General features: G+C 38.7%; 1 protein-coding gene and 2 pseudogenes across 18 annotated transcripts in view, besides 2 other annotated features; 1 reads left to right on the top strand and 2 right to left on the bottom strand.

Moving 5' to 3' along the window:
* The window catches only part of SPATA6 (spermatogenesis associated 6), a 210,816-nt gene that overhangs the window by 20,769 nt on the left and 162,529 nt on the right, over positions 1 to 27,518 (top strand). The gene's annotated exons all lie outside the window — the stretch shown is intronic.
* RNU4-61P (RNA, U4 small nuclear 61, pseudogene) lies at positions 3,394 to 3,500 on the bottom strand (annotated as a pseudogene).
* Positions 8,713 to 9,400: an enhancer, noted in NCBI's record as "NANOG-H3K27ac hESC enhancer chr1:48907708-48908395 (GRCh37/hg19 assembly coordinates)". NCBI's record gives its function as "activates a minimal SCP1, AML or CMV promoter by ChIP-STARR-seq in naive H9 embryonic stem cells {active_cell/tissue: H9 hESC(naive)}" and the evidence as "EXISTENCE:reporter gene assay evidence [ECO:0000049][PMID:30033119]".
* Positions 11,745 to 12,039: a silencer, noted in NCBI's record as "tiled region #3042; HepG2 Repressive DNase matched - State 8:EnhW, and K562 Repressive non-DNase unmatched - State 23:Low". NCBI's record gives its function as "represses a minimal TATA promoter and a strong SV40 promoter by Sharpr-MPRA in HepG2 and K562 cells {active_cell/tissue: HepG2 | K562}" and the evidence as "EXISTENCE:reporter gene assay evidence [ECO:0000049][PMID:27701403]".
* On the bottom strand, positions 13,540 to 15,734 carry LOC644462 (STE20 related adaptor beta pseudogene; annotated as a pseudogene).

The following is a 27,518-nucleotide window of genomic DNA, read 5'->3' as shown; positions in this document are numbered from 1 at the left end:
TCTTGAGCTGAGACTTTTTAATACTTTTTAGAATTTCAGAATATTCCTGGAAATAATAAAAGATATATATGCTGCAGAGAGGCTGAGAATTCTTTCTTTTTTTGTGTGTTTGGTCTGTGGAAAACAGAGACTTATTTAAGCTTTTTATTGATTAAAATGATATGGGGTGTTTGTGATATAGTGACAGAAATTTATGTTAGTTGAGATTTTCCCCTGCAAACAGAAATATGTCTTCTACTTCAGTGTATTTCAAGTCAAGAGAGTGAATAACAGATCAAAGTAATGGTAGCTTAAAATATATGCTTTTGCACTTTACATTGCATTCATTACATTAATAAATTATTTGAAAAACACATTTTTTCAAGGCTCTGCATAACAAGTAAATTCTTCAAACTACTTAGAATAACTATAAAAAGATACAACTATTTGTGAGAGCAGCAATGCAAAAGTGTACACTTTTTAAGCTCTGAGTGTTAAATGAAAAGCTCCGTTAATTTATCTTTGTAATTTGAAAGGGCTCTGGGATCAACAGATTGATCTAATGTATAAATGTGGCTCAAAAGGCCAGTAAAATTGAGCATAATCATTATTAACTTTCCTTTCCATTTGGCCTCCCCTGCTGGCCCCATTGCGACTTCAGCAATGTAGAAACATGTAGCCTGGAACATGCAAGAATCTGAGTATTAGAGGGAAGAAGAGTCTGGCCCATTGTCTGTCTCATGGAGCTTATAGTTTAGTGACTCTTCTCCAAATAACTCTTTATGGCCAATGTCAATATCTTATTTATTTTGTATAGCTGTTCTAGCCCTTGGTGTTATATTTTCCACTGTTGCAGACTAGCTAGGTGGCAGTGTGGTGCTAATGGATATATGAATTTTAATATTTACTGAACATCTTGTTCAGTATCTGGGAAATTGTGTATCTTAGAAAAAAATGAAGATACACATTTCTCTCATTTTGAAATTCTTCTGTTAAAAAACAATGCCTTTTTTGTCCCATTTGATTTGAAATTTTGAGGCTATAAGAAGAGTACTTAGTGGTTATTATTTTTTGGAAATTTTCTTTCTTTGATTTCCCTGATTTTTTTTTTTTTTTCTTGGGCTCTCTTCCCAACCACTAGTATTCCATTTTTTGGTACCCTTTTTAAATTCATCTTTCTCTGCCCTATCTTCAAATATTAATATTTCACTGGCTTTCTTCTCTGATCTCTTTTTATACTTTGTTTATGGTCTCTCCTTATATAATACTCTCCAAAGACTTGGCTTCATGTATTACCTATCCTCCAATTACTTCCATGTTAGTCTTTATCCCTGACCTCTCTAATGTGCTTTGGGCTCTTTTGTCTTTTACTCCTCCCTTACTGTACTGTTTTGCAGTCTTTTTCAGTTCCTTAATTAAAAAAAAAATGAGCGAGTTTATAATACCCACACTAACAGTGGAGAGAATAGAATGTGATGAAGTCCTGTGTATCTGTCACCCAGCTTCAATATTTTTTGACATTTTGCCAATCTTATTACATGTTCACTCTGCCACCTGAAGAGCATTGCTGGAATATTTAAAAGCAAATTCTATGCATTATGTCATTTCACCACAAATACTTTGGTATGGCCTCTAACAGATAAAGGCTTTAAAAAATACAGAACCACCATGCTGGTATCACACCTAACAAAATCAGTAATTTCTTAATAAGATCAAACAGTCATAATTCAGATTTCCCTAGTTATCCTCAAAGTGTCTTTTTGCAATCGATTTGTTAAAATCAGGATCCAATCAAGGTGTGGTTCACACACCATATATGTCGATTTCTCTCTTTTTTCCTATAGTAGTGTCCTACCTTTTTTGTTTTTAATACTGTGGATTTGTTAGAAAAACTAGCTCATTTAGCATGTCATACAGTTTGGGTTTGGCTGATTGCTTCCTTAAAATGTTGTTTGGATTGTTTATTACTTGTTTTATAAACTGATAATTAGACATAGAGGTTTGATTAGATTCTGGCTTATTTTGTTACTTTGGCAAGAAATCTTCATAGTTGGTGCTGTGTACTTAACAGCATTATGTCAAGTTGCATAAAATATCTGATTGTTTTACGTTTAGTGATGCTAAGAATGATAATTTGGCTCCAGGCAGCATCAGCCTGATTCCTCCATTATAAGGCGCCCATCAGCTTTTCATCTAATAGCTGTAGTATCCCTTGAGATCCATTTTTTCCTTAGGGGTTGCACATTACTATTTTTCTAATATTGTCATTCTTTTGTATTTATTAGCTAGAATTTTTCTATAGAAGAAATTTTCCTAATCAGCAATTTTGTTACTTTGAAATATAGTTCCTAGAAGAAAGGCAGGGCAAATCCTTCATTCCCTCCTTCCCTTACTTTATTTAACAGCTTTAGTGAGGTATAATTTATATATCATAAAATTCACCCATTGTAAGTAACTATAGTTAAATGATTTCTAGAAAATTTATACAATTGTGTATCATCATCATTTTCTAATTTAGAATGTCTCTACCACCCCAAAAAGTCCCTGATACCTATTTGCAGTCAGTCCCTGTGCCCACCTCCCAGTCCCCAGAAACCAATGTATTTTCTGTCTCTATATTTGCCATTTCTAGAAATTTCATCTAAAGAGTTATATAATATGTAATCTTTTTTCTCTGGCTTCTTTTCATTTAGAGTAATGTTTTTCAGAATCATTCATGTTGTTCCACATCTAAGTAGTTCATTCCTTTTTATTGCTGAATAGTATTCTGTTGTATGGAATGTTTCCCTTCCACATTGACTATTGACTATTTGATGGACATTTGGACTGTTTTGGGCAATTATGTTTTGGGCAATTATGAACCATGTTGGTATGAGTATGTGGATATGTGCTGGGAATATGGGTGTGCTCAGAAAAGATATATTGCAGCTGATGGGGATGGAGAACGTCTTTTTTTTTTTTTTTCCTGTGGGGACACTGAATAAACTTGTTTGTTGTGTGCCTGCATTTTGACTGTGACCCATCATATGACGTTAAGTGTGGAATTTTCCACTTGTGGCATAATGTCAGCATTCAAAAAGTTTTAGATTTTGGGACATTTCAGATTTCATGTTTTTGGATTAGGGATATTCAACCTGTACCTACTTTGCCTATGCTTTGCTCTTCCTTTTTCAGCTTCTCCTTTTTTTTTTTTTTTGAGACAGGATCTTCCTCTGTCACCCAGGCTGGAGTACAGTAGCATGAACATGGCCGACTGCAGCCTCTACATCCTAGGTTCAAGCGATTTTTCCACCTTAGCCTCCCAAGTAGCTGGGACCACAGGCATGTGCCACCATGCCAGCTAATTTTTTTTATTTTTTTGTAGAGATGGGGTTTTACCATTTTGCCCAGGCTGGCAGCTTCTTGAGATGGAAGCATAGATGATTGATTACAGATATTTTTTCCTAATATAAGCTTTTTATTAGCAATAATCATGCCTTGGATAAATCTCATTGGCTGCGATACTGCCAATGTGCAAAGCTTAATACAAGCTTTTAAAGGTGTAAATTTCCATCTTCCCACTGACTTTGCCCTATTTCATGAGTTTTGATGTTATTTTTTGTTACCATTAATTTTAAGATATTGTCTAATTTTTTTGGTTTGATTTCTTCTTTGACCATGGGTTCTTTTGAAATAACTTATTTCCAAATATTTGGGGATTTCCTATATTTCTTTCTAAAGTTAATTCTAATTTAATTCTGTTGTGGTGAGAGAACATAATTTGTAGGATTTTAACTTTTTTACATTTATTGAGACTTGTTTGTGGCCTATCCTATGATCTTGAGGATGTTCCAGTGCACTTGAAAAGATTGTGTGCAGTTGACCTTTGAACAAGATGGGAGTTAGGGGTGCCGTCTCCCCATGTAATCGAAAATTCATGTATAATGTTTTTTTGTTTTGAGATGGAGTCTCACCCTGTCACCAAGGCCGGAGTACAGTGGTGCGATGTTGGCTCACTGCAAGCTCCATCTCTCAGGTTCAAGTGATTCTCCTGCCTCAGCCTCCTGAGTGGCTGGGACTACAGGTGCGTGACACCATGCCCGGCTAATTTTTGTATTTTTAGTAGACATGGGGTTTCACAATGTTGCCCAGTCTTGTCTGGAACTCCTGACCTCAGGTGATCCGCCCACCTTGGCCTCACAAAGTGCTGGGATTACAGGCATGAGCCACCGTGCCTGGCCACGTATAACTTTTGACTCCCCCAAAAGCTTACCTACTAATAACCTATTCTTGACCAGAAGCGTTACCAATAACATAAGCAGTCAATTAACATATTTTTTGTTATATTATATACTATATTCTTATAATAAAGTAAGCTAGAGAAAAGCAAATGTTATTAAGAAAACCATGAAAAAAGAAAATATATTTACTCTTCATTAAGTAGAAGTTCATCATAAAAGTCTTCATCATCATCCTCATGTTAGCAGGCTGAGGAGGAAGAGAAAGAGAAGAGGTTGGTCTCGCGTCTCAGTGGTAGCAGAGGTAGAAGAAAATTCGTGTATAAATGGACCTATGCAGTTCAAACATGTGGTTCAAGGTCAACTGTATTTTGCTGTCATTGATTGTGTTAATCTATGTCAATCTATTTCTGTCATTTAAGTTGATAATGTTCAAGTCTTGTGCATTCTGATTGTATTCTTTTGGGAGGGTTGGTTGTTTTACTGATTACTAAGAGAAAGGTATTTAAATGTCTAATTATAATTATTGAATTATTTCTTCTTTCATTAATATCAGGTTTTGCTTCATATAATCTGATGGTTATCAATTTATTGCACCTAACCAAATTCAATCTTCTTTCCTGTTCTGTGGAAATTGACTTAAACCCTTAAATTTTTTTTCTCTACCTGGCACTGAAGCTTTGTATATTAGAGGACCCTGAAGAAATACTGCAGGGGAACAGATTTTGCTTCCAGGTACCAATGTATTCATTTGACTTTTTCCAGCACCAGGCTTCTGAAGCCCTTGTAGCTTCTCAAGTGGCCAGGTATTGCAATACATGGTGGTCTGCAGTGTTTTTCCCCAGCTGGCCTCTCTTTGGATGGTTCTATAGTGAAGCTTCTGATGAAATACCTCCCCGTAAATAGCCTCCCTGCTATCCTAGAGGGAGAATTTCTGGCAAGTTCCAGAGGGCAGATTTTCAGTATATACCACTGGCACGGCAGTAGAGTGATTTCTTTTTCAGTGAGCCCAGACTGTACCCTCTCCAACAAGGTCTGATCTCAACACTGGGGAAGAGGGCTTATGTAGAGTTTCTTTGTTGGTACTCTGAGCCCTAGGGGTAATGGCTGCTTTTCTACCTGCTATTCCTATATTATTTTAAATTCTTTTTACATCTTCCTTGACAGTCTCTTCCTCCTTGAATACCCTGTTTTAGTTAACTGTTCTTTATATTAAACTTTTCCTATGTGGCTTCTCTCTCCTAATTGGACCTAGCGTGATGTATTTATTTTGAGGCTCGGTCTTGATTGCTTATACATTTATAATTGTTATATTTTCTTGAATCTTAACCTAATTTATGGCAGCAAAATTTATAGTAGCAAAATTGCAGTGGTCTCAGGCCTCACATCTTCCCCACCATATCCTTAAGAATAAATAAGAGGTCTGTGTTCCATACTTTTCATCAAGTCTTGAGGTTTATTCTAATCAAAGTAGAAAAGGGGATGTAGTATGCTGTTGGCATAGCCTATGTACACATGTTCTACCTTTCGTTCAGGTGGTACATGTGTTAGCTTTTTTTTTTTTTTTTTTTTTTTTTTTTGAGACAGAGTCTCACTCTCTCTCCCAGTCTGGAGTGCAGCGGCGTGATCTCGGCTCACTGCAAGCTCCGCCTCCTGGGTTCACGCCATTCTCCTGCCTCAGCCTCCCGAGTAGCTGGGACTACAGGCGCCTGCCACCACGCCCGGCTAATTTTTTGTATTTTTAGTAGAGACGGGGTTTTACCATGTTAGCCAGGATGGTCTCGATCTGACCTCGTGATTCACCCGCCTTGGCCTCCCAAAGTGCTGGGATTACAGGCGTGAGCCACCACGCCCAGCCATGTGTTAGCTTTTTAAGAACTACGTAGATCTGTAATGGAAGGGGAAAGGAGGGGAATAGATGCCCTGGCAGCACCTCATAGATGTTCCTACAATGTGTCTCCATAGTACTGAGCCTTTAAATTTAAACACAGAATGATAGCAGAAATGACAGAAATAACCCATTTAAATAAAATATAAAGTCAAGCCAAAATAATCAGTTTGGCTGTATGTCAGTGGAAGCAAAGAGAAGAATTTCAAGTAAGGAAAATTATTGAACCAATGTGGAATCTTCTAGAATTTTCAGCTACCTATTCTAGTACTGGAATTGAGTCATATATACATTTCCTATTGTCTAAAATACAAAACTAATATATGCTTATCTGTCTGCCTAAAATCAAAAATTTATTAATTAAAAATGTTATTAAAAAACAAATTGAACATGCTCCAGATTGTCAAGGGGACCCTAGCACCCCTTTAACTGGAAAGCCTATAAATGGTCAGATCCTTGAGTAACCCCAGATCAAATGATTCTGACAGTCCTTGTGTGTCTGGAGTTGGTTTCTTCTGGTGGGTTCTTGGTCTCGCTGACTTCAAGAATGAAGCTGCAGACCTTCGTGGTGAGTGTTAACAGCTCTTAAAGGTGGCACGGACCGAAAGAGTGAGCAGCAGCAAGATTTATTGTGAAGAATGAAAGAACAAAGCTTCCACAGCATGGAAGGGGACCTGAGCGGGTTGCTGCTGCTGGCTGGGTTGGCCAGCTTTTATTCTCTTATTTGTCCCCGCCTATGTCCTTCTGTTTGGTCCATGTTACAGAGTGCTGATTGGTCCATTTTACAGAGTGCTGATTGGTCCGTTTTACAGAGTGCTGATTGGTGTGTTTACAAACCTTTAGCTAGACACAGAGCGCTGATTGGTATGTTTTTACAGAGTGCCGATTGGTGCATTTACAGTCCTTTAGCTAGACTCAGTGCTGATTGGTGCGTTTTTACAGAGTGCTGATTGGTGCATTTTTAAAGAGTGCTGATTGGTGCATTTACAGTCCTTCAGCTGGACCCAGAGTGCTGATTGGTGCGTTTTTACAGAGTGCTGATTGGTGCATTCACAATCCTTTTGGTAGACAGAGTGCTGATTGGTGTGTTTTTACAGAGTGCTGATTGGTGCATTTACAATCCTTTAGCTATACATAGAGCGCTGATTGGTGCGTTTTTACAGAGTGCTGCTTGGTGCATTTACAATCCTTTAGCTAGACACAAAAGTTCTCCAAGTCCCCACTTGACCCAGGAAATCCAGCTGGCTTCACCTCTCAGTCCCCTCTCTAAACAGGACAACCCAACTCCTATTGGGAATTGGGCGATGACTGCTCTAGCTACTTCCTGCTGGATGGGGTGAAGAAAGGACCCTGCAGTTGTAGTGTCCTCCAGAGGGAAGCTCTTTAGGCCAGTCAAAAGGCCAGTGGGTCGGTCCAGGGGTCCTCGGTAGAAGTTGTTGGTTGAGCTCATTTGGGGTTCCATTTGTAAGACCATCTGTAGCTTGATGGCCTGGATCCTAGAGGAAACAAATTTGACAAGGAGGTTAAAAATACAGGGCCTGAAGGCGAGTAATAGCAAGATGGCTGTCACGGGACCTAGAAAGGGAAGAAGTCATGTCGCCCAACTCCAGAGGTTGTTATAAGAGTTTGACAGGCGTTGTCTGATTTCAGAAGCCTTTTCCTGTAAACGCCGGGTGGCATCTCATACTATCCCTGACTGGTTAGTGTAAAAGCAGCACTCTTCCCCTAAGAAGGTGCAAAGTCCTCCTTTCTCAGCAGTGAGGAGGTCTAGGCCTTGGCAGTTTTGGAGAGTCACTGCTGCCAAAGAGTGTATTTGGGATTGTATCCTTACTGGATAGATTTTGTTATTTCTTGCAAACTGTCTGAGAAATCCTTTGAGAGTGTGTGGTAGGAGGATAATGAAGTAGATAAACCTGCTTTTCTGGTTCCTGTAGCAGTGGCCATTTCTAACCCTATAAGTAGGGATATTAGTTGTATGGCCCTGTGCTGACAGACTTGAGCTTTGTGGGGCACTGATAGGGTCTGATTTCTATAAGATTTGAAGGTAGGATAATACGTGTTACACTGTTAACTTTTAGCAAACTTTACTTTCGTTGAAAACCTTCTAAGTTTGGGATTTTAATTTTTCTTTGCTATTAATAAAACCTCGTTCAGTCCATATTCACTTAGAAGTGGTATGGATGGCTCCCTCCTGATTCTGTAAGTACTTTAAGGTTTGGCTGAGTGCCAACAAGTGGCACGTTGGAGCAGACCAATTGTTAGGCGATTTTCCTAAGTCTGCTTCCTTATCACTTACTGAATACCATTGTGTCTTTTTTCCTTAATTGCCTGGGAGGAACTGTCCTGAAGGGAGTTCCTTCTAGGTCTGGTTGGACTTTTGTATGGTAATTAGTTAAGATTTAGATTCCCTGCTAGGAAACCTGCTGGGTTAAGGATTTTTGATAGGAAGGCTATGGGTTGTCAGTGGCCTCAGTGCTTTCAGGCTACGCCCTTGTTTACACTGACAACAAGGTGGTATTGGAGTGTTACAGGGTTGCAGAGAAGACCTTCAATTATCATTATAGGTTTTAAATTTACCCTGGCTTTTAAAGGAATAGGGTACACTGTTTTTTTTTTTTTTTTTTTTTTTTTTTTACTACTTCCATCTCTCTTTCTCTTTGACTTGTCTTTCTCTTTCTCTCTTTCTGACTCCCTCTTTGTCTGTTTCTTCCTTTCTCTCTTTGACTTTCTGTCTCTCTCTTTCTCTCTCTCTCTCTTTCTCTGACTCCCTCTTTGTCTCTGTCTCTTCCTCTCTCTCAGTCTCTCTGACTTTCTGTCCCTTTCTCTCTCCTTTCTGCTGGTCTTTCCCTGCCTCTGCCAGCCGCTTATGCTGCTGTTCTCCTCTCTCCTTCCCTTTTTTGATGGCTTCGGCAGTGTAAGACTGCCACCTCTTTGGGTTTTTGCACTGCATGCAGTAACTCCATGATTTCCTTGTGGTATTTAATGGTGGTTCCCCCAGTGGTTAGGAACTCCGTTTCTTTCCATATTGCAGCATGGGCATGTAGGATTAGATAAGGATATTTGCTATCCGTGTACACTTTTATTCTTTTTCCCTTTCCCAGTTCTAAGGCTTAGGGAAGTGCCACTAGTTCTGCTAACTGGGCGCCAGTCCCTGGGGGAAGAGGCTTACTTTCAAGTACTGTTACATCACTAACTATGGCATAACCTGCCCTTTGTATCCCATTCTCCACAAATGAACTTCCATCGTTATATAGGTTAAGGTCATGATTAGCTAAGGGGACTTCTAAGAGATCCTCTTGGGCAGCGTAAGTCTGGACTATAATTTGTTGGCAGTCATGCTCGATTGGTTCCCCATCCTCTGGGAGAAAAGTAGCAGGGTTGAGGGCCACACACCTGCATATTTGAAACACCAGTCCCTCAAGGAGTAGCTCCTGGTATCTAAGCAGGCGGTTGTCTGATAGCCATAAACTTCCTTTGGCACCTAGTATGCCATTTACATTATGAGTAGTCCAGATAGTAAGATCCTTTCCTTGTATTATTTTAATAGCCTCTGACACTAAGACGGCCACCGCTGCAACTACCCATAAACAGTGAGGCCAGCGTTTTGCTACTATATCAGTTTCCTTACTTAGGTATGCCACTGGTTGTGAGGTTGTCCCACGAGTCTGAGTAAGGACCCCAAGAGCTATTCCTGCCCTCTCTGTGACGTGTAAAGAGAAGTTTTGTCCTATGGGAAGGCTTAGGGCTGGAGCTTGAGTTTGTTCCTTCCAGTGCCCAGACTTCAGGGTTGATTCCCTCCTCAAGCAGGGGACAACAAATGGGTAACTTGTTTCCCATATTCATGTAGATAATAGCTCCAGCTTTGGCTAATATGTCCCTCCTTAATAAGGGTATGGGACTTTCAGGCATAACAAGAAAGGCATGTGAAAAGAGCAAAGTCTCCCAATTACAACTGAGGAGGTGGGAGAAATACCTGATTACAGGCTGTCCCAGGATTCCTCGGATGGTAACGGACCTTGAGGACAGCTGTCCGGGACAGGAAATTAACACTGAGAAAGCTGTGCCAGTGTCCAGCAGGAAGTCAATTTCCTGGCCCTCAATGGTTAAACATACCCGGGGCTCAGTGAGGGTGATGACATGAGCTGGCACTTGCCCTGGGCACCCTCAGTCCTGTTGTTGGATCATCTGGTTGGGGGCTTCTGGCCCAGAGAACCTTTGTCCTCTGGGGCAGTGTGCCTTCCAGTGATTGCCTTGGTGTAGTGGACATGGCAGGGTGGGCAGCTTGTTTCTTGTTGGACAATCTTTTTTACGGTGTCCTTGCAAACCACACTGGTAACAAGCCCAACCAGGTGACTGGCCTGCTCCATTTTCTGTCCTCTCTGAACTGCCAAGGTTTGTTTGTCTGAGGGCCATGACTAAGGCTGTGGCCTTTGTCTGATCTCTCTTTTCCTTTTTGGCCTGTTCTCTTGGTCCCTATTATAGAACACCAAGGTTGCCAGGTTTAATAATGCCTCCAGATTTTGTTCAGAGCCCAGGGCTCGCTTTTCGAGCTTTCTCCTGATATCTGTGACTGATTGGGTAATAAACTTATCTTTTAGGATCAGTTGATCCTCAAGTGAGTTGGGTGACAGGGCAGTATATTTTTTTAAGGCCTCCCATAGCCACTCGAGGAAGGCAGAAGGATTTTCTTCCTTTCCCTGAGTTATGGTGGACATCATTGAATAATTCATGGGCTTTTCCCTAATTTTCCTTAGTCCTTCTAGAACACAGGTCAACAGATGTTTGTGATTGCAGTCCCCATGATCGGAGTCGACGTCCCAGTGGGGATTCATACTGGGGATGGGTTGCTGACTGGTAGGGAATTTGTCCCTTTCTTCAGCTGTCATTCTGTCATTTACTTGACTAAGATACCAGGTATCTCCAAACTCTTGGGCTGCAGCTAAAGCCACATTCTTTTTGTTAAAGGCCAGGGTTTGATCTAACAATAGTATAACATCTCTCCAAGTGAGATAGAAGGTTTGCCCTAGACCCTGTAGGACATCTGTATACCTATCAGGATCATCTGAAAACTTCCCCAGGTCTGCCTTGATCTGCTGTAAATCAGAGGGAGAAGGGGACATGTACCCGGATTGGGCCAGATTACCCTCCCCCTACAGCTTGAAGGGGACATAACCGATAGCCAGAGGGTTTTTGTGGTCCCTTGGAGATGTCTTTGCTTGTTTCCTTCTGGGTGGGGGAGATTAGAGGAGGCTTATCTTTAATAGGAAGGGGAGCTATGGGGAGGCTAGGATATGGGGGTAAGCTGAGAGGTCCTCTTGTGGGATGTAAATTGCAAGCTTTGCATAGTTGTGGATTCTCCTTCAATGAAAAGAAAGCTTGGACATAAGGTGTTTCACTCCATTTGCCTTCCCTCTTACAGAAAAGGTCAAACTGTAGTATAGTATTTTAATTTATACATTCCTCAGGTGGTCATTTTTTCCCCATCAGACAGAGAATATTGGGGCCAGGCCATAGTGCAGAAAAAAATAAGCTGCTGCTTTTTCAGGGTTTGCGGGTCAAATTGGTCCCAGTGGCTTAGGATGCATTTCAAGGGTGAGCCTGTTAATGCCTGTCCCAATGGCTTAGGATGCATTTCAAGGGTGAGCCTGTTAATGCCTGAGTGTTTACTATCTGAAAGAAAAAAACGCCGGTGGTTTTGGTTTGTTTGTTTTCCCCTCTTGCCCAAGAACCTACAACGGTCCCTGGACCCTGCTGACTGGAATAGTTGTGCTCACCGATGCAGCAGCAGAAACTCTTCTTGCCCAAGAACCCAAATGGTCCCTGGACCCTGCTGATCGGACTAGTTGCACTCACTGATGCAGCAGCAGAAATCACTCTTGCCCAAGAACCTGCAATGGTCCCTGGACCCTGCTGATCGGAATAGTTGCGCTCACTGACGCAGCAGCAGAAACCCCTCTTGCCCAAGAACCCGCAATGGTCCCTGGACCCTGCTGATTGGAAAAGTTGCGCTCAGCATCGCAGCAGCAGAAACACTAGTTTTCCTCCTTAGACCACAAGGAGGACTGAGGAAGGTCAGATTTAGTGGCCCTTACCGACGCATTCTTGAAAACCTGCACCCTTGCCTGTCCTCCTAGACCACAAAGAGTACCGAGAAAAATTGGATTTAGTGGCTCTTACTGACTCATTCTCAAAAACCTGTTAGAGTCCTAAGTGTTCTCTTGTTAGTATTGGGACCTTTCTCCTGTCTTATAAAGATGTTATGCCCCAAAAATGAAGTGGAGGGCCATACCCTGAGGGAGGGAAGGGATCTCCAGGGTTGGAAGGGTGATGCCTTTTGTCCTCATTTCTCATCATATGAATAGGAAGGATATCATTTCTGAGGCTCCCCATAGCCTAGTTTCAGTAATAGCTTTTGTTAGGCCTGCTAGTCTGAGGAAGGATCCTAAAATTCCAGATAGTCCCCCCCACCTGATGGGGCTTTGGGCAAAAATTATGTCTTTATGATTGGTGAGCTCAGGTGCCTAAAGAAGATAACAGAGTCCTGAAGTTTATACTAGAAATCACTCTTATAGGAGAAACTAGAAAAGCACCAGAGACAGGGAGTGGTTTTTAGAAGCGGGACTAGTCTCGGAGAAAAGAGGCGAGAGGAAGTTTGTCTGACAGGCGTTAGAACCCAGGAGGCAAGGGTCAGGATAGATAGGATAGATGGGCGAGTCTCGCTTGGGTGATGTAACTTTGAGAGTTCCGATCATGGCTACAGGGCCAACCAACTTTTTGTCAGGACCCTGGAGCTGAATGTCTTTCCTCTCTGTTGACCGTCGGCTCAGCCTGGAAGTACAGGAAAAGCGGAAGCTGGTTCCAAGCAAACCAGTGCTGCCAACTTTGAAGAGTTGGGGGTTGTTAGAAAGCTCTTTCCCAGAAAGCCTGACAACTGGGTCTTTAGTCCGGCGGCTGCGCTAGTCGCTTTTAACTGGCCAACAGGTGCCTGGTATTTAGCCCCCAAATTCTAAGGAAAAATAGGACAGAATAGTAAGCAAAAGGGGTCCGATGGTACTCACTGCTTGGCGATGGTCCCTTTGTGGTTGCCAAGATGTGTCCAGAGTTGGTTCCTTCTGGTGGGTTCTTGGTCTTGCTGACTTCAAGAATGAAGCTGTGGACCTTTGCGGGGAGTGTTACAGCTCTTAAAGGTGGCATGGACCCAAAGAGTGAGCAGCAGCAAGATTTATTGTGAAGAGCAAAAGAACAAAGCTTCCACAGCGTGGAAGGGGACCTGAGCGGGTTGCCGCTGCTGGCTGGGGTGGCCACCTTTTGTTCCTTTATTTGTCCCCGCCCACATCCTTCTGATTGGTCCATTTTACAGAGCACTGATTGGTCCATTTTACAGAGTGCTGATTGGTGTGTTTACAAACCTTTAGCTAGACACAGAGCGCTGATTGGTGTGTTTTTTTTTTTTTCTCAATTCAGTATATCTTTATTGAGCTCCCACGGGGTGCATGAATTTAAGATCTATAATTTACAAAGTAGGAAAGTGTTACTTTAGCCCCCTTTTTTAAAAAAAAGCAAATTACAATTTCTGTATATATTTCAAGTGAATCATTTAATGTGAGTGAGGCTCAGTTAGGTGTTACCATAAGTATTAACAGAAGAAAAAAGGAAAGCACAAACATTTTCCCTCTACCAGAAAAGGGTCTGATGTAAGATAAACTAGCCTGTTGGTTTAACAATAGCTCATTAAAAAGGCCAGAGAATCTGGGAGAAGAAGATGTACTTGGAAGCACTGTCCTCTGAGGGCTCATTCCCAAGGAACAGCAAAATACTGAAAAAAATTAACTGGCTCAAAAATTATATTGAGAGATAAAAAGAGTTAGTCACAGCTTAGAAAAAAATTCCAGAATAAATGACACTAGCTAGATTGGTAATTCTGATGTTTCCTTGTCATAGTACTCTGTGCAAAACAGAGGGACTACAAACTGGTGCCCCTTTGAACAGAGTGGTTTTAAATAATAGATTCTCCAGTGCACCAACTGTATTTTCAAGTATAATTCTCGTATTTGTACCTAGAAATACAGAAGAAAAAGCAGCAAGGAGAAAGTGTCAAGTATATAGGACATGAAATGATTTGGCAGCCCTAGAATTCCAAGTATGAGTCTTTTTCATCAGGAAAATCACATTCTGGCTCAGTCCAAGGTAACACTGGAGGCAATGGTATTGATGGCTTGTTATAAGCAGGAGGCAACCGTGAAAGTATTGAATCCTGGCTTTCTTCTTTCATCTGTTTGAAGAAAACATGGGACAATAAACTGCTTGCTGATGGCCTTTTCTCAGGATCTTGTTGCAAACAGAGCTGTACCAAGCTAAAGAAGGCAGGAGAGAAAGTTTTTGAGGATGGTGTGTGTAATCGGTCACTATTTACTGTGTGAGTTCCACTGGAGACAAGCACACTTTCTCCAATTCCAGAGTCTACACCTGACCGGGAATTTTTCATTCTGGATTCTGATTGAGGGAAAATACTGATATCCAATGGGCTATAAGGAGGACCTTTCAGTTTCTGTAACAGCATCTGAGTTCTATGCATGTCCTGGAAAGGCACCTGCCCACTGGCTAATTCACATGCTGTAATCCCAACACTGTAAATATCTGACTTCACATTATACCCATGTAAATCCTGTCTCAGTAGTTCTGGACTCAGCCACGGCTGCACTGATGTGCTGAACTGTGGGAAATCATACACAGCCCTATGCCTCTGTCCATGCTTAACCAAACTATGCAGATGGGACAGGCCAGAGAGGGTCACTAGGCCATCACCAGAAATGAGGATATGGCTGGCTTTAATACTCCTGTGAATACAGCCATTTTGGTACAGATAGTTCAACCCTCTCACAGCTCCAAAGATAATGTTTCTTATTAAAGTTTCACTCATTCCTTCAGGAAAACAGGTCCTCAAGAGTTGACTTGCTGAACCATAGGCCATAAATGGAGAAATAACCCAAAGCCAGCTGCCAACAGTGAAAACTGTCCAGTAAGTTGTAATATTGGGATGCCGGAAAAAGTGGGATAGAATCACGGCTTTCTGTAAAGCTTTCAGGCGTTCTTCATTGCAGTTTTCCAGATTTGTAATTTTTATAGTTACCAGTGTTCCCGTGGGAGTATGCCATGCAAGATGGACAGAAGTCAAGTTGTCAAATCCTCTTCCTGTTTCTACTTGGAGCTCGTAGTGAGAAACGTTGGTGGAACATAGTACTTCACTGGCTCTAGTGGATGGAGGTGACCAGGAAAGGGTTGGCTCATCAACCAAGTATTGATGGATACTGGTTTCAGACTGTTTTTCAGGTCTGAGTGATTCATCTTGTGTTCTTGAAGTGCAGAAGCAATCCAAAAGAGACATTGAATCACTTTAGTTCACACAGAAAGTGACAAAAATCCATCTATTCCAAAGAAGGCTTTTGTTTTATCTTCCTTTCAAGATGCAGATATATCCTACCTAGCAGCGACCATGGCCAGCGACTCTCTTCAGGCTGCCAGCGGTGCGGACAGGGGCGGGCGCCAGAGCCCTGCTCGCGGAGGGGCGAGGCGAGTGCTCTAGGCCCGCTCCCGGTGCGGGGCGCGGGAGGGCGGCGAGGCCGCGACCGGGGCCGTGGGCTTGGAACTCTCGGTGCGTTTTTACAGAGTGCTGATTGGTGCATTTACGATCCTTTAGCTAGACCCAGAGTGCTGATTGGTGCGTTTTTACAGAGTGCTGCTTGATGCATTCACAATCCTTCAGCTAGATGCAGAGCACTGAGCGGTGTGTTTTTACAGAGTGCTGATTGGTGTGTTTACAATGCTTTAGCTAGACCAAGAGTGCTGATTGGTGCATTTTTACAGAGTGCTGATTGGTGCATTCACAATCCTTTAGCTAGACACAGAGTGCTGATTGGTGCGATTTTAGAGTGCTGATTGGTGCATTCGCAGTCCTTTAGCTAGACAGAGTGCTGATTGGTGTGTCTTTACAGAGTGCTGATTGGTGCATTTACAATCCTTTAGCTAGACACAGCGCTGATTGGTGCGTTTTTACAGAGTGCTGCTTGGTGCATTTACAATCCTTTAGTTAGACACAAAAGTTCTCCAAGTCCCCACTTGACCCAGGGAGTCCAGCTGGCTTCACCTCTCACTTGGACATACTAATTACTTAAAATGTTCCTTGTTTATTATTATTGGTGATGTATTATTAGTGTCAGTACATTAGTATTATTATAGAACTTTCCAATTCTATTTCATACCCTATATGCCCCTCTAAGGAATCTCCAGGGACCCAGAATCACCTCAGGCTCTAGGGAGATATATATTAACTATATGTATTATAATTTAATAAATTAGTTATATAATTATATTACATAAATTAATACAATTATATTAAATGCCCATGATATTAAAAGCCATAATAGGGCAATTTTACATTCATAGAGAAGGTTTCCTCTTCAAGGAAATGGTTTTAATTCTGGAATCTACCAGAACAAAATAAGTTATGCCTAATGTATACCCTGGGAACCACTTTTAGGCAAGAAAGAGAATGAAAAAGTTTTCTATTTCATAGAGTTTCTGTTGAAACTGGATTTTCATCTTCTTTCACTGAAGGTTTGCAGATTTTCATCTACAGACACACACACACACACACCCCCGTAAGTGCACCACAGATGTTCTCTCACTATACTGCCACAAATGTACTGCCTGAAAAGCTCTTCCTCCAGATGTGTATATGGCTTGCTCTCTCACTTATTTCCAGTCACTCCTCAGATTTGTCATAATCAGAGAGGCCTTCTCTTACCAACATATATAAAACAGCACCCCTCTTTGGTCAATGTCTCAATTCTGTTCTATTATCTTTAGATCTGTATCTTGTACACCAGTATGTTTTGAGAGTAAAGGGGTATGCTAATAATATTTTTGCCAAAACAAAATGTGTGAAAAGGTACCACTCAGGGCAAATGGAATGAATGGTTCTACTGTTTTTCTTTCTAGCACTGACATATTATTTATTTTTAAATTTTTTATCTCACTAGAATAACAGTTTTATAGGAGTAGAGATTTTTCCTGTTTTTTTTTTTTTTTTTTTCTTTCACTGCTGTATCTCTAGTGCATAGTGCCTGGCACCTACTATGCGTTTGATATCCAAGGAGTTAAACAAAATATCATAAAATGCTTCATATAACTGCCTCTCATTACCATTTTTATGACTGTTGGAACTGTCCTATTTAAAGACACCTGTTTGTAGTGTTACAATCTTGTGATTAGGAAATGTATTTTGTATTTGAAAATTTATAATAGAATAGCTGTTTCGGTCTCCTTTTTCCACCACTTGGATAAAGAGAAGATATGATATTTATTTATATTGCAGTATGTTACTGGGTGTTTCTGTTGATTTCTCTTCCCTATAGGGAGCTAAAATAGCAGTTTTATTAGAGCTCCTGCTTCTCAGTTTCTAGGAATTAGTTCTTACCTGATATCTGGAATATCAGGTAAAGTCTTTTTTGAAGCCCCTTTAAACTGATTTCAGGTGAAGTTTTGAGGCTAAGAATAAATTCCTCTAAGTCTGTGCATGAGAATATTTCTGGCTCAGTCCTCAGGAGAGCTTGTAGGACTAAGGATTTATATAACAAATATATTCAAACCAATTTATCTTTATAGTTTGGGGAGGTAAATAGGTATTCAGAAAAAATTATTATAGCAGCTGTTTGTGCTGGTACAGAGGTTTAATAGTAGTCTGGCACGTAAGTTATTTCCTATAGCCTTTTGATTTACTATTTTGCTATAATATTTCTGGAGTATCATAGTACATTTAATTTGTAACTCACAGTAAAAGTACATGTGAAAATGAGAAGTTTTACAGAAGAAGAAGGAAAATTATTTTTAGCTATAAGATAGTAGACAGTTACAAAATAAGATTATATTGTATGTTCCAGTAGATGTAGTTTACATTAACTTAATATTTGTGTTCCAGCAGCATTAGTTCTCCATAAAGCTTTTCTTTAAATAATTTATAGTCTTTCTCCTTGAAGTAATTTTTATTACAGTAAAACATACATAATGAAATTTACTATCTTAATCATTTTAAGTATACAGTTTAGTGGTATTAAATACATTTATAATGTTGTGCACCCATTACCACCATGCAGCTCCATAACTCTTTTCATCTTGTAAAACTGAAACTATACCCATTAAACAATAACACCCATTTTCCCCTCCCTGCAGTCTCTTGCAACTACCATTCTGTTTTCTGTCTCTATGATTTTGAGTACTCTGAGTATCTCAGATAAGCACAATCATGCTGTATTTATGTGTTTTTTAAAAAACTGGCTTATTTTACATAGCGTAATGTTTTCTAGGTTCATCCATGTTGTAACGTGTCAGAATTTCATTTCTTTTTAAAGATGAATGATATTCCATTGTATGCATACATCACATTTAGCCTATCACTTCATGTGTTGATAGACACTTGGGTTGCTTCCACGTTTTAGTTATTGTGACTAATGCTGCTATGAACATGGGAGTACAGATATCTGTTTGTGATCCTACTTTCCATGCTTTTGAATATATATCCAGATGTGGAATTGCTGGATCATATGGTAATTATACTTTTAATTTTTTTCAGAAATTACCATACTGTTCCATTGTAGCTGTATCATTTTACATTTTCTTCAACTGCACAAGGATTCCAATTTCTTCACATCCTCACCAACACTTGTTGTTTTCTGTTGTTTTGATAGCCCTTTCAATGAGTGTGAGATGGTATCTCATTTTAGTTGTAATTTGCATTTTCCTAATTATTAGTGATCTTGAGCATCTTTTCTTGTGCTTATTAGCCATTTATGTATCCTCTATGGAGAAATGTCTATTTAAGTATTTTACCCATTTTTGAATTTTTTTTTGGTTTCGTTTTAGGAATTTTCTGTGTATTCTAGATTGTAATTTTTTATCAGATATATTATTTGCAAATGTTTTCTCCCATTGTTTGGATTGCCTTTTTACTGCATTGATAACTGCCTTTTTATGCACGAAATTTTAACATTTTCATGGAGTCCTATTTGTGTATTTTTTTAAATTGCTTTTGCCTTGGTTGTGTTATCCAAGAAATCATTGCTAAATCCAGTGTCCTGAAGCCTTTGTTCTATATATTTTTAGGAGTTTTATGCTTTTCTAGGTCCTTAAATTGTAAAGTTAGTTTGTTGATTTGAGGTCTTTTTTATTATTTATTTATTTATTTTTGAGACAAGGTCTGGCTCTATTGCCCAGGCTGGAGTGCAGTGGTGTGTTCTCAGCTCACTGCAGCCTCTGCCTCCCAGGCTTAAGCCATTCTCCCACCTCAGGCTCCCACATAGCTGGGGCTACAGGCATGCACCACCATGCCCAGCTAATTTTCATATTTTTTGTAGAGACAGTGTTTCACCATGTTGCCCAGGCTGTCTCGAGCTCGTGAACTCAAACAATCCACCCACCTTGGCCTCCCAAAGTGCTGGGATTACATGCGTGAGTCGCTACACCCTGCCCTTTCTTATTTTTTAATGTAAGCATTGATAGCTGTAGATTTCTCTCTTAGTACTGCTTTCCCTGTATCCCATAAGTTTTGGTATTGTATTTTCATTTTTATTTATCTCCAAGTATTTTCTAATTTCCTTCATGATTTCTTCTTTAATCCATTGATTATTTAAGAGTGTGTTGTTTTATTTCCATAAATTGGTGAATTTTCCAAGTTTACTTCTGTTGTTGATCCTTATCCCATTGTGGTTAGAGAATATACTTTGTATATCCATCTTCCTAAATCTATTAAAATTTAATTTGTGGTCTACCATATGGTCTATCCTAGAAAATGCCCCATATATACCCCATATATACTTGAGAAAAATATGTGTGTTGTTGTGGGTGGGTAGAGTGTTTGGTAAATATCTGTTAGAGCTATTTGGTTTATTGTGTGTGTGTTTTTTTAGGTTCTCTGTTTTCTTTCTTAACTTCTGTGTGGTTGTTTTAACCATTATTTAGAGTGGTTATTGATGTCTTACTATTATTGTAGAACCATTTGTTTCTCTCTTCAATTCTGTCAGTTTTTGTTTCATGTATTTTTATGATCTCTTTATAGATGTATAAATGTTTACAATTGTTACATCTTTTTGCCACATTGAACCTTTTATTAATATGTAATGCTCTTTTTTGCTTGTAATCTTTTTTGATTTTAAGTCTATTTTGTCTGATATTAGTATAACCACCCCTGCTCTCTTTTAGTTACTTTTTGCATGGAATATCTTTTCCCATCCTTTCACTTTTAAAATGTGTGCATCTTTAGACCTAAAATGAGCGCCTTGTAGACAGCATATCCCCAGGTCATATGTTTTTATCCATTCTACCATTCTTTGTCTTTTGCTGAGATGCTTTAATTCATTTACATTTAAAGTAATTACTGATAGAGACTTATTTCATTTTGCTATTGGTTTTCTATATGCCTTACAACTTTTTTGTCACTCATTTTCTGCATTACTGTCTTCTTTTGTGTTTAGTTGCTATTTTTGGTAATGAATTGTTTAAGTTTCTGTCTCATTTCCTTTTGTGTGTATTCTGTGTCTGTTTTCATTGTGGTTACCATGAGGATTACATTTAACACACCTATGTTGTAACACTAATTACATGTTTATACTTTGTGTGCTCCAAAACATAAACTAATAATTGAAAAAATATACTAGTATTTGAAAATACATTGCAAACAAAAATGTGGAGTTACAACCCATTGTTATAGTAATACTAGCTTTTATAACTTCCCGCATATTTACCTTTATTGAGATCTTTATTTCTTTGTATGACTTTGTGTTACTGTCTAGGGTCCTTTCATTTCACCCTTTAGGACTCTCTTAAACATTTCTTGCAGGACAGGTCTAGTGGTAATAAACTTTGTCAGTTTTTATTTATCGGGGGACATCATAGTTTCTCCTTCAGTTTTGAAGGAGAGTTTTGCTTGATATAGAATTCTTGTTAGTTTTTTCTTTAAATATTTTGTATATACGAGCCTACTGCCTTCTGACCTCCAGTTTCTGATGCGATATCTGCTAATAATCTTTTTGAAGACCTTTTGTAAGTGATGTGTGGCTTGTCTTTTGTGCTATTTTCAAGATTCTCACTTTGTCTTTAGAAATTTATAATGTGTCTCATTGTGGTACTTTTATATTCATCTTTCTTGGAGTTTGTTGAGCTTCTTGAATATTTACATTTATTTCATTCATCAAATTTGAGAAGTTTTCAGCCATTGTTTCTTTAAATATATTCTTTGCTCCTTTCTCTCTCTTTCCTCCTTCATGGATTTCCCCAGTGTGTCCATTGGTCCTTTTGATGGTGTCCTACACATTCCTTAGGCTGCTCACTTTTCTTCAATTATTTTTCTTTCTGTTACTCAGACTCAATAATTTGTACTGTCCTATCTTCAAGTTCACTGATTCATTCTTCTTCCTGGGGAAATCCTCTTTTGAGTCAATCTAGTAAATTTTTCATTTTAGTTATTGTATGTTTCAGCTGCAACATTTTCTTTTGGTTCCTTTTAAATATTTTTATTGATATTTCCATTTTGTTCATACATTGTTTCTCTGACCTTCTCTTCATCTTTCTTTTCTTTTTGAGCATCTCTTTGACAGTGATTTTAAAGTCTTTTTCTAGTGTATCTGCCATAAGGTCTTTTCCACAGGTAGTTTCTGCCGATTTATTTTCTTCCTTTGACTGCAGCATATTTCTTGTTTCTTTTATCCCTTATGATTATTTTTTGTTGAAAACTGGGCATTTGATTCTGATGATGTGGTAACTCTGGAATCCAGATTTTTTGTCTTCTCTAGTTTTTCCTGTTTCCCTAGTTTTTTGTTATTGTTTTCGATTTTTTCATTGTTATGGGCTGTCTTTGTGTTGAAGATCAGCCTAAAGTATAAATGTAATGTCTCCTTAAGTATTTTCGGAGCCTTCCCCTGAGCATGTATGGTCACTTTATAATTTTCTCTGTATATGCAGTTGTTTTTCAATGTCTTATTCTTTAAGGCTCCCAAAAAGGGAAAAAGAAAAATAAAAGAGGGAAGAAGAATTCTGGTCCTTGGGAGGGGCTTGCAACAATGGGGTGAGGTGCAACAACATGGCCATAAGGCTCTTTATCTGCATCTCTGTTATTGGGGAGCAGAGTATAAATCTCCAATATTTGGAGGACAGGATTTTTTTTTTTTTGCCCATCCTGGCAAACCTGTGTGCAGGTTGCTCCTAAAAAAAGTACTTATCTGCCTGCAGTGGGTTGGAGTTTGAGGGTTGGGTAGCTGTTATTGTACTAAGAGCTGAAATTGACTGAAATTGATCACGGTTTATAGTTGAAGCCTTCCCCTGGAAGTTGCAAACCTTTGATAGACTCTAGTCTTCCAAAATAGTTACATCAAATAGATCTATTAAATAGATCTGTCACACACACACACAAACACACACACACACACACACACGTGTATATATATATACACACATATATATACACATATATATACACACATATATATACATATACACACACACACACACACACACACACACACACACATATATACACCTATACAGTTGACCGTGAACTAAGTGAATTTGAACTGTTTGGATCCATTTTCTTCTGTCTCTGCCGCTCCTGAGACAGCAAGACCAACCCCCACTTCTTCCTCCTTTACCTCAGCCTGCTCAATGTGAAGACAAGGATGAAGAACTTCATGATGAATATGTTTATGTTCATACATATTTCCACTTAATAAATAGTAAACATATTTTCTCTCCCTTATGATTTTCTTATTAATGTTTTTCCCTAGTTTCTTAATATAATATATGTGCAATGCACAAAACATGTTGACTATGTTTTTATGTTATTATTATTATTAGAGACGGAGTTTCGCTCTTGTTGCCCAGGCTGGAGTGCAATGGCATGATCTCAGCTCACCGCAACATCCACCTCCTGGGTTCAGCGATTCTCCTGCCTCAGGCTTCAGAGTAGCTGGAATTACAGGCATGTGCCACCACGCCCAGCTATTTTTGTATTTTTGGTAGAGACGGGGTTTCTCCATGTTGGTCAGGCTGGTCTCGAATTCCTGACTTCAGGTGATCTGCCTGGCTCAGTCTCCCAAAGTGCTGGGATTACAGGCATAAGCCACTGTGCCCGGCCTGTTTTTATGTTATTATTAAGGCTTTGGGTCAGTGGTAGGCTATTAGTAGTTAAGTTTTTAGGGAGCCAGATGCATATGGTTCCATATGCATGGAGCTACAAGAAAGAATAAAATCATGTCTTTTGCAGCAGCATGGATGCAGCTGGAGGCCATTATCCTAAGTGAATTAATGCAAAAGCAGAAAACCAAATACAGTGTGTTCTCTCTTACAAGTAGGAGCTAAACACTGGGTATACATGGACACAAAGATGGGAACAATAAACACTGGAGATTTCAAAAAGGTGAAGGGAAGGAAAGGGGAAAGGGTTGAAAAGCTATTAATAGCTGTCACAGGTGCTATGTGCACTACCTGGGCAATGGAATTATGATTAATAGAAACCCATACCTCAGCATCATGCAGTTTTTATCCATGTAACAAACCTGCACATGTACCCTCTAAGTTAAAAAAAAGTTATATGGAGGTTTTCAACAGTGTGTGGGTTTGATGGCCCTAGCCCCCATGTTGTTTAAGGGTCACCTGTATATGTAAATATCAGTGTCTTAACTTTTAAAATTTGGTTTTTACTTATATCAAAATTATGTCATTTTTAATTGGTTATAAAATTAGGTTGTTTTTCTTTAAATTCGTTGTATATATTCTATAAGTCTTATTATAGAAAACAGCAATAATGTATCCATTTCAGCAAAGTTTCCTGAACGATAGTTTGTAGTATTCATTTTCTTTTTTTTTTTTTTTTGCCTCAATTTTCTTAATTAGGAACTACTATTATAGTATTTTGGATCATTTTGCCTGTTTAGTGTTTACTTTCTGTGCTATTTAAAATTCTTTGGTTTCTTTTTGATTAAAATATTCTCATTTTCTTGTATTTTAAGGCATTATATCTGTCGTATTATTTCCTCTCCTGTTTATTTTAATTCATATTCAGTTATGAAATGATTTCTGATTGGGTGTGTGGTAGCTCATAAATATAATCCCAGCACTTTGGGAAGCGTAGGCTGGAGAATTGCTTGAGGCTGGGAGTTGAAGATCAGCCTGGGCAACATAGTGAGACCCCCATCTCTACAAAAAAAATTAAAAATTAGTCAGTTGTGATGGTACATGCCTATAGTCCCAGCTGCTCAGAAGGCTGAGGTCAGAGGATCACTTGAGCCCAGGAGTTTGAGGGTACAGTGAGCTATGATTATGCTACTGTACTCCAGCCTGGGTTACAGAGTGAGACCCTATCTCTTAAAAAAAAAAAAGATTGAACTGACTTTTTTCTCTGTTTTTACTTTTTTCCTGATTTATATCATCTTACATCTATGTTTTTCTAATTTTGATTAATGTAGTTCTTCAGTTTCTTGTATTACTTCCTTAATTTTTCAATAGATTATAATTTTGCTCTATTTTGCTAACATGTTTTTTGGCTGCTGTCATTGTAGGAATTTTCTTCTTTTGCCTATTATTATTTAAACAAGAACTTGGTAAAATATTTGACCTTGATCCTTTTCTTTGTTCATTTTTAATTGAATTTAAATTAAAAAAATTTTTTTTTTCTTATCTCTTAGAAGGAAGATTGATTCAGGACAACATTTTAACTTCAAAGAGCTTCCGTATGTAGTGTTCAAAGTGTGGTGACTTGCTTTCTAGGGTATTCTGTCTCTGTTCCATTTCACTTTTGCTAGTCCATTTTTTTCCTGATATTTTTATTTTTGTCCTGCTCAAGTTTTATTCTATTCCCTATAGTTTTTCCTAGTGTCTTGGGTTTTATCCTGCACAGGAACCCTGGGTGGTCAGTTTCTGTAGTTCTTATGGGCTACCAGGACTAATCTACCGTCTTCAGACTCTATTGTACAACTTTTGAATTTACCTGCTATTGAAATGAACAAACCCCTTTCCAGTTTCAACTGCTCTTTTTCAAATTGATTGACTGTGCTTCCTAGTATGTGTGTATTGGCTGTTTAGGGATTATCTTTCCAGGTCCTTTAGATACACTCTTCCTTCTCCTTGTGAAGTGCCTGTCTTTTGCCCGTTTTTCCATTGGGTTGTTTGTTCTGTTCTTATTAATTTGTAGGAATTCCCTACATTTTCTCATTACAAGCCATTTGCCAGTTATATGTTTCAAGTATCTTGTCCCACTCTGTGGCTTACATTTTTAATCCATTAGCGATTCTTGTTCTTTTGATGAGCAAGTTATTTTTAACACAATCTGACTTAGTAATGTAGTTTGATTTATTAATATTTTCCTTTGTGCCTACTGCTTGTTTTTTTTTCATTTTAAAGAAATCTTTGCTTACACCAGTTATGAAAATATCATTCTACATAATCTTCAAGAAGCATTTTTTTTACCTTTTACATTTTGATTTATAGTCCACCTGGATTTAATTTTTATATATAGTATAAAGTAGGGATAAAATTTGTTTTATTCATATATAATCTCTAATTAAACAATACGATTTGTTGAAAAGACTTATTCCCATTGCTTCATAGTGTTTATTTTGTCATAAATTAAGTGCCTGCTAGGGCACATGTAGGCATGTGGAACTTTTTTCTAGATTCTGTTCTGTTTCTTGGGTCTGTTTGTCCATCCTTGCATAAATATTATACTTTCTTAATTACTGTAGCTTAAGTTTTGCTATCTGGTAGTTTAAGCCTCCAAGTTTATTCTTCTTTTTGAAGATTGCCTTAGCTAGTCTTTGTATACTAAAGTGTCTAAAGCAAACTACACTCCTCTTATGAATACACTTCAATGACTATTGACATTTGTATATAACCATATAACCACCACTCACTGAAATACAAAATACTTGCAGCATCTAAAAGGTTCCCTTCTGCAGACACATAGACCAGTGGAACAGAATCAGAGAACCCAGAAACAAATCCATACACCTACAGTGAACTCATTTTTGACAGAGGTGTCAAAAACATAACACTGGGGAAAGATAGTCTCTTTAATAAATAGTACTGGAGAAACTGGGTATCTATATGCAAAAGAGTGAAACTAGTTCCCTATCTCTCACCATATACAAAAACCAAACCAAAATGTATTGAAGACTTAAATCTAAGACCTCAAATTATGAAACTACTACAGGAAAACATTGGGGAAAGTCTCCAGTACATGGGTCAGGGCAAAGACTTCTTGAGCACTACCCCTCAAGCACAGGTAACCAAAGTAAATGTGGACAACTGGGATCACATCAAGTTAAAAAGCTTCTGCACAGCAAAGAATACAAACAGCAAAGTGAAGAGACAACCCACAGAATGGGAGAAAATATTTACAAACTGCCCCTCTGATAAGGGATTAATAACCAGAATATATAAGGAGCTTCAAACAACTCTATAGGAAAATATCTAATAATCTGATCAAAATATGGGCAAAAGATTGAATAGACATTTTTCAAAAGAAGACTTACAAATGGCAGACTGGCATATGAAAATGTGCTCAACATCATTGATCATCAGAGAAATGCAGATCAAAACTACAATGTGATTATTGTCTCACCGTAGTTAAAATGGCTTTTATCCAAAAGACAAGAAATAACAAATGCTGGTAAGGATGTGGAGAAGAGGGAACCCTTGCACACTGTTTCTGGGAATGTAAATTAGTACAACCACTGTGGAGAACAGTGTGGAGGTTCCTCAGAAAACTAAAAATAAGAGTTACCATATGATCCAGCAATCCCACTGCTGAGTATATACCCAAAAGAAAGGCTAACAGTATGTCAAAGAGATATCTACACTTCTACATTTGTTGCAGCACTGTTTACAGTAGCTAAGATTTGGACTTAGCGTCCATCAACAGATGAATTAATAAAGTATACATTTACTCAATAGAGTATTATTCAACCGTAAGAAAGAATAAGATCCAGTCATATGCAACAACATGGATGGAACTGTAGATCATTATGTTAAGTAAAATATGCCAGGCACAGAAAGACAAACATCACATGTTCTCACTTATTTGTAGGATCTAAAAATCAAATCAGTTGAACTCATGGAGATAAGAGTAGAAGGATGGCTCCCAGAGGCTGGGAAGGATAGTAGCAGGTTTATGGGGAGGTGGGAATGGTTAATGGGTACAAAAAATAGAGAAAGAATGAATAAGACCTACTATTTGATAGCACAATTGGGTGACTATAGTCAGTAATACTTTAATTGTATATTTTAAAATAAAGAATGTAATTGGATTGTTTGTAACTCAAAGGATAAATGCTTGAGGAGATGGATACCCCATTCTTCATGATGTGCTTATTTTACATTGCTGTCTGTATTAA

Source organism: Homo sapiens, chromosome 1, assembly GCF_000001405.40.
Source record: "Homo sapiens chromosome 1, GRCh38.p14 Primary Assembly".
NCBI lineage: Eukaryota > Metazoa > Chordata > Mammalia > Primates > Hominidae > Homo > Homo sapiens.
This window is presented reverse-complemented; position numbering and strand designations above follow the sequence as displayed.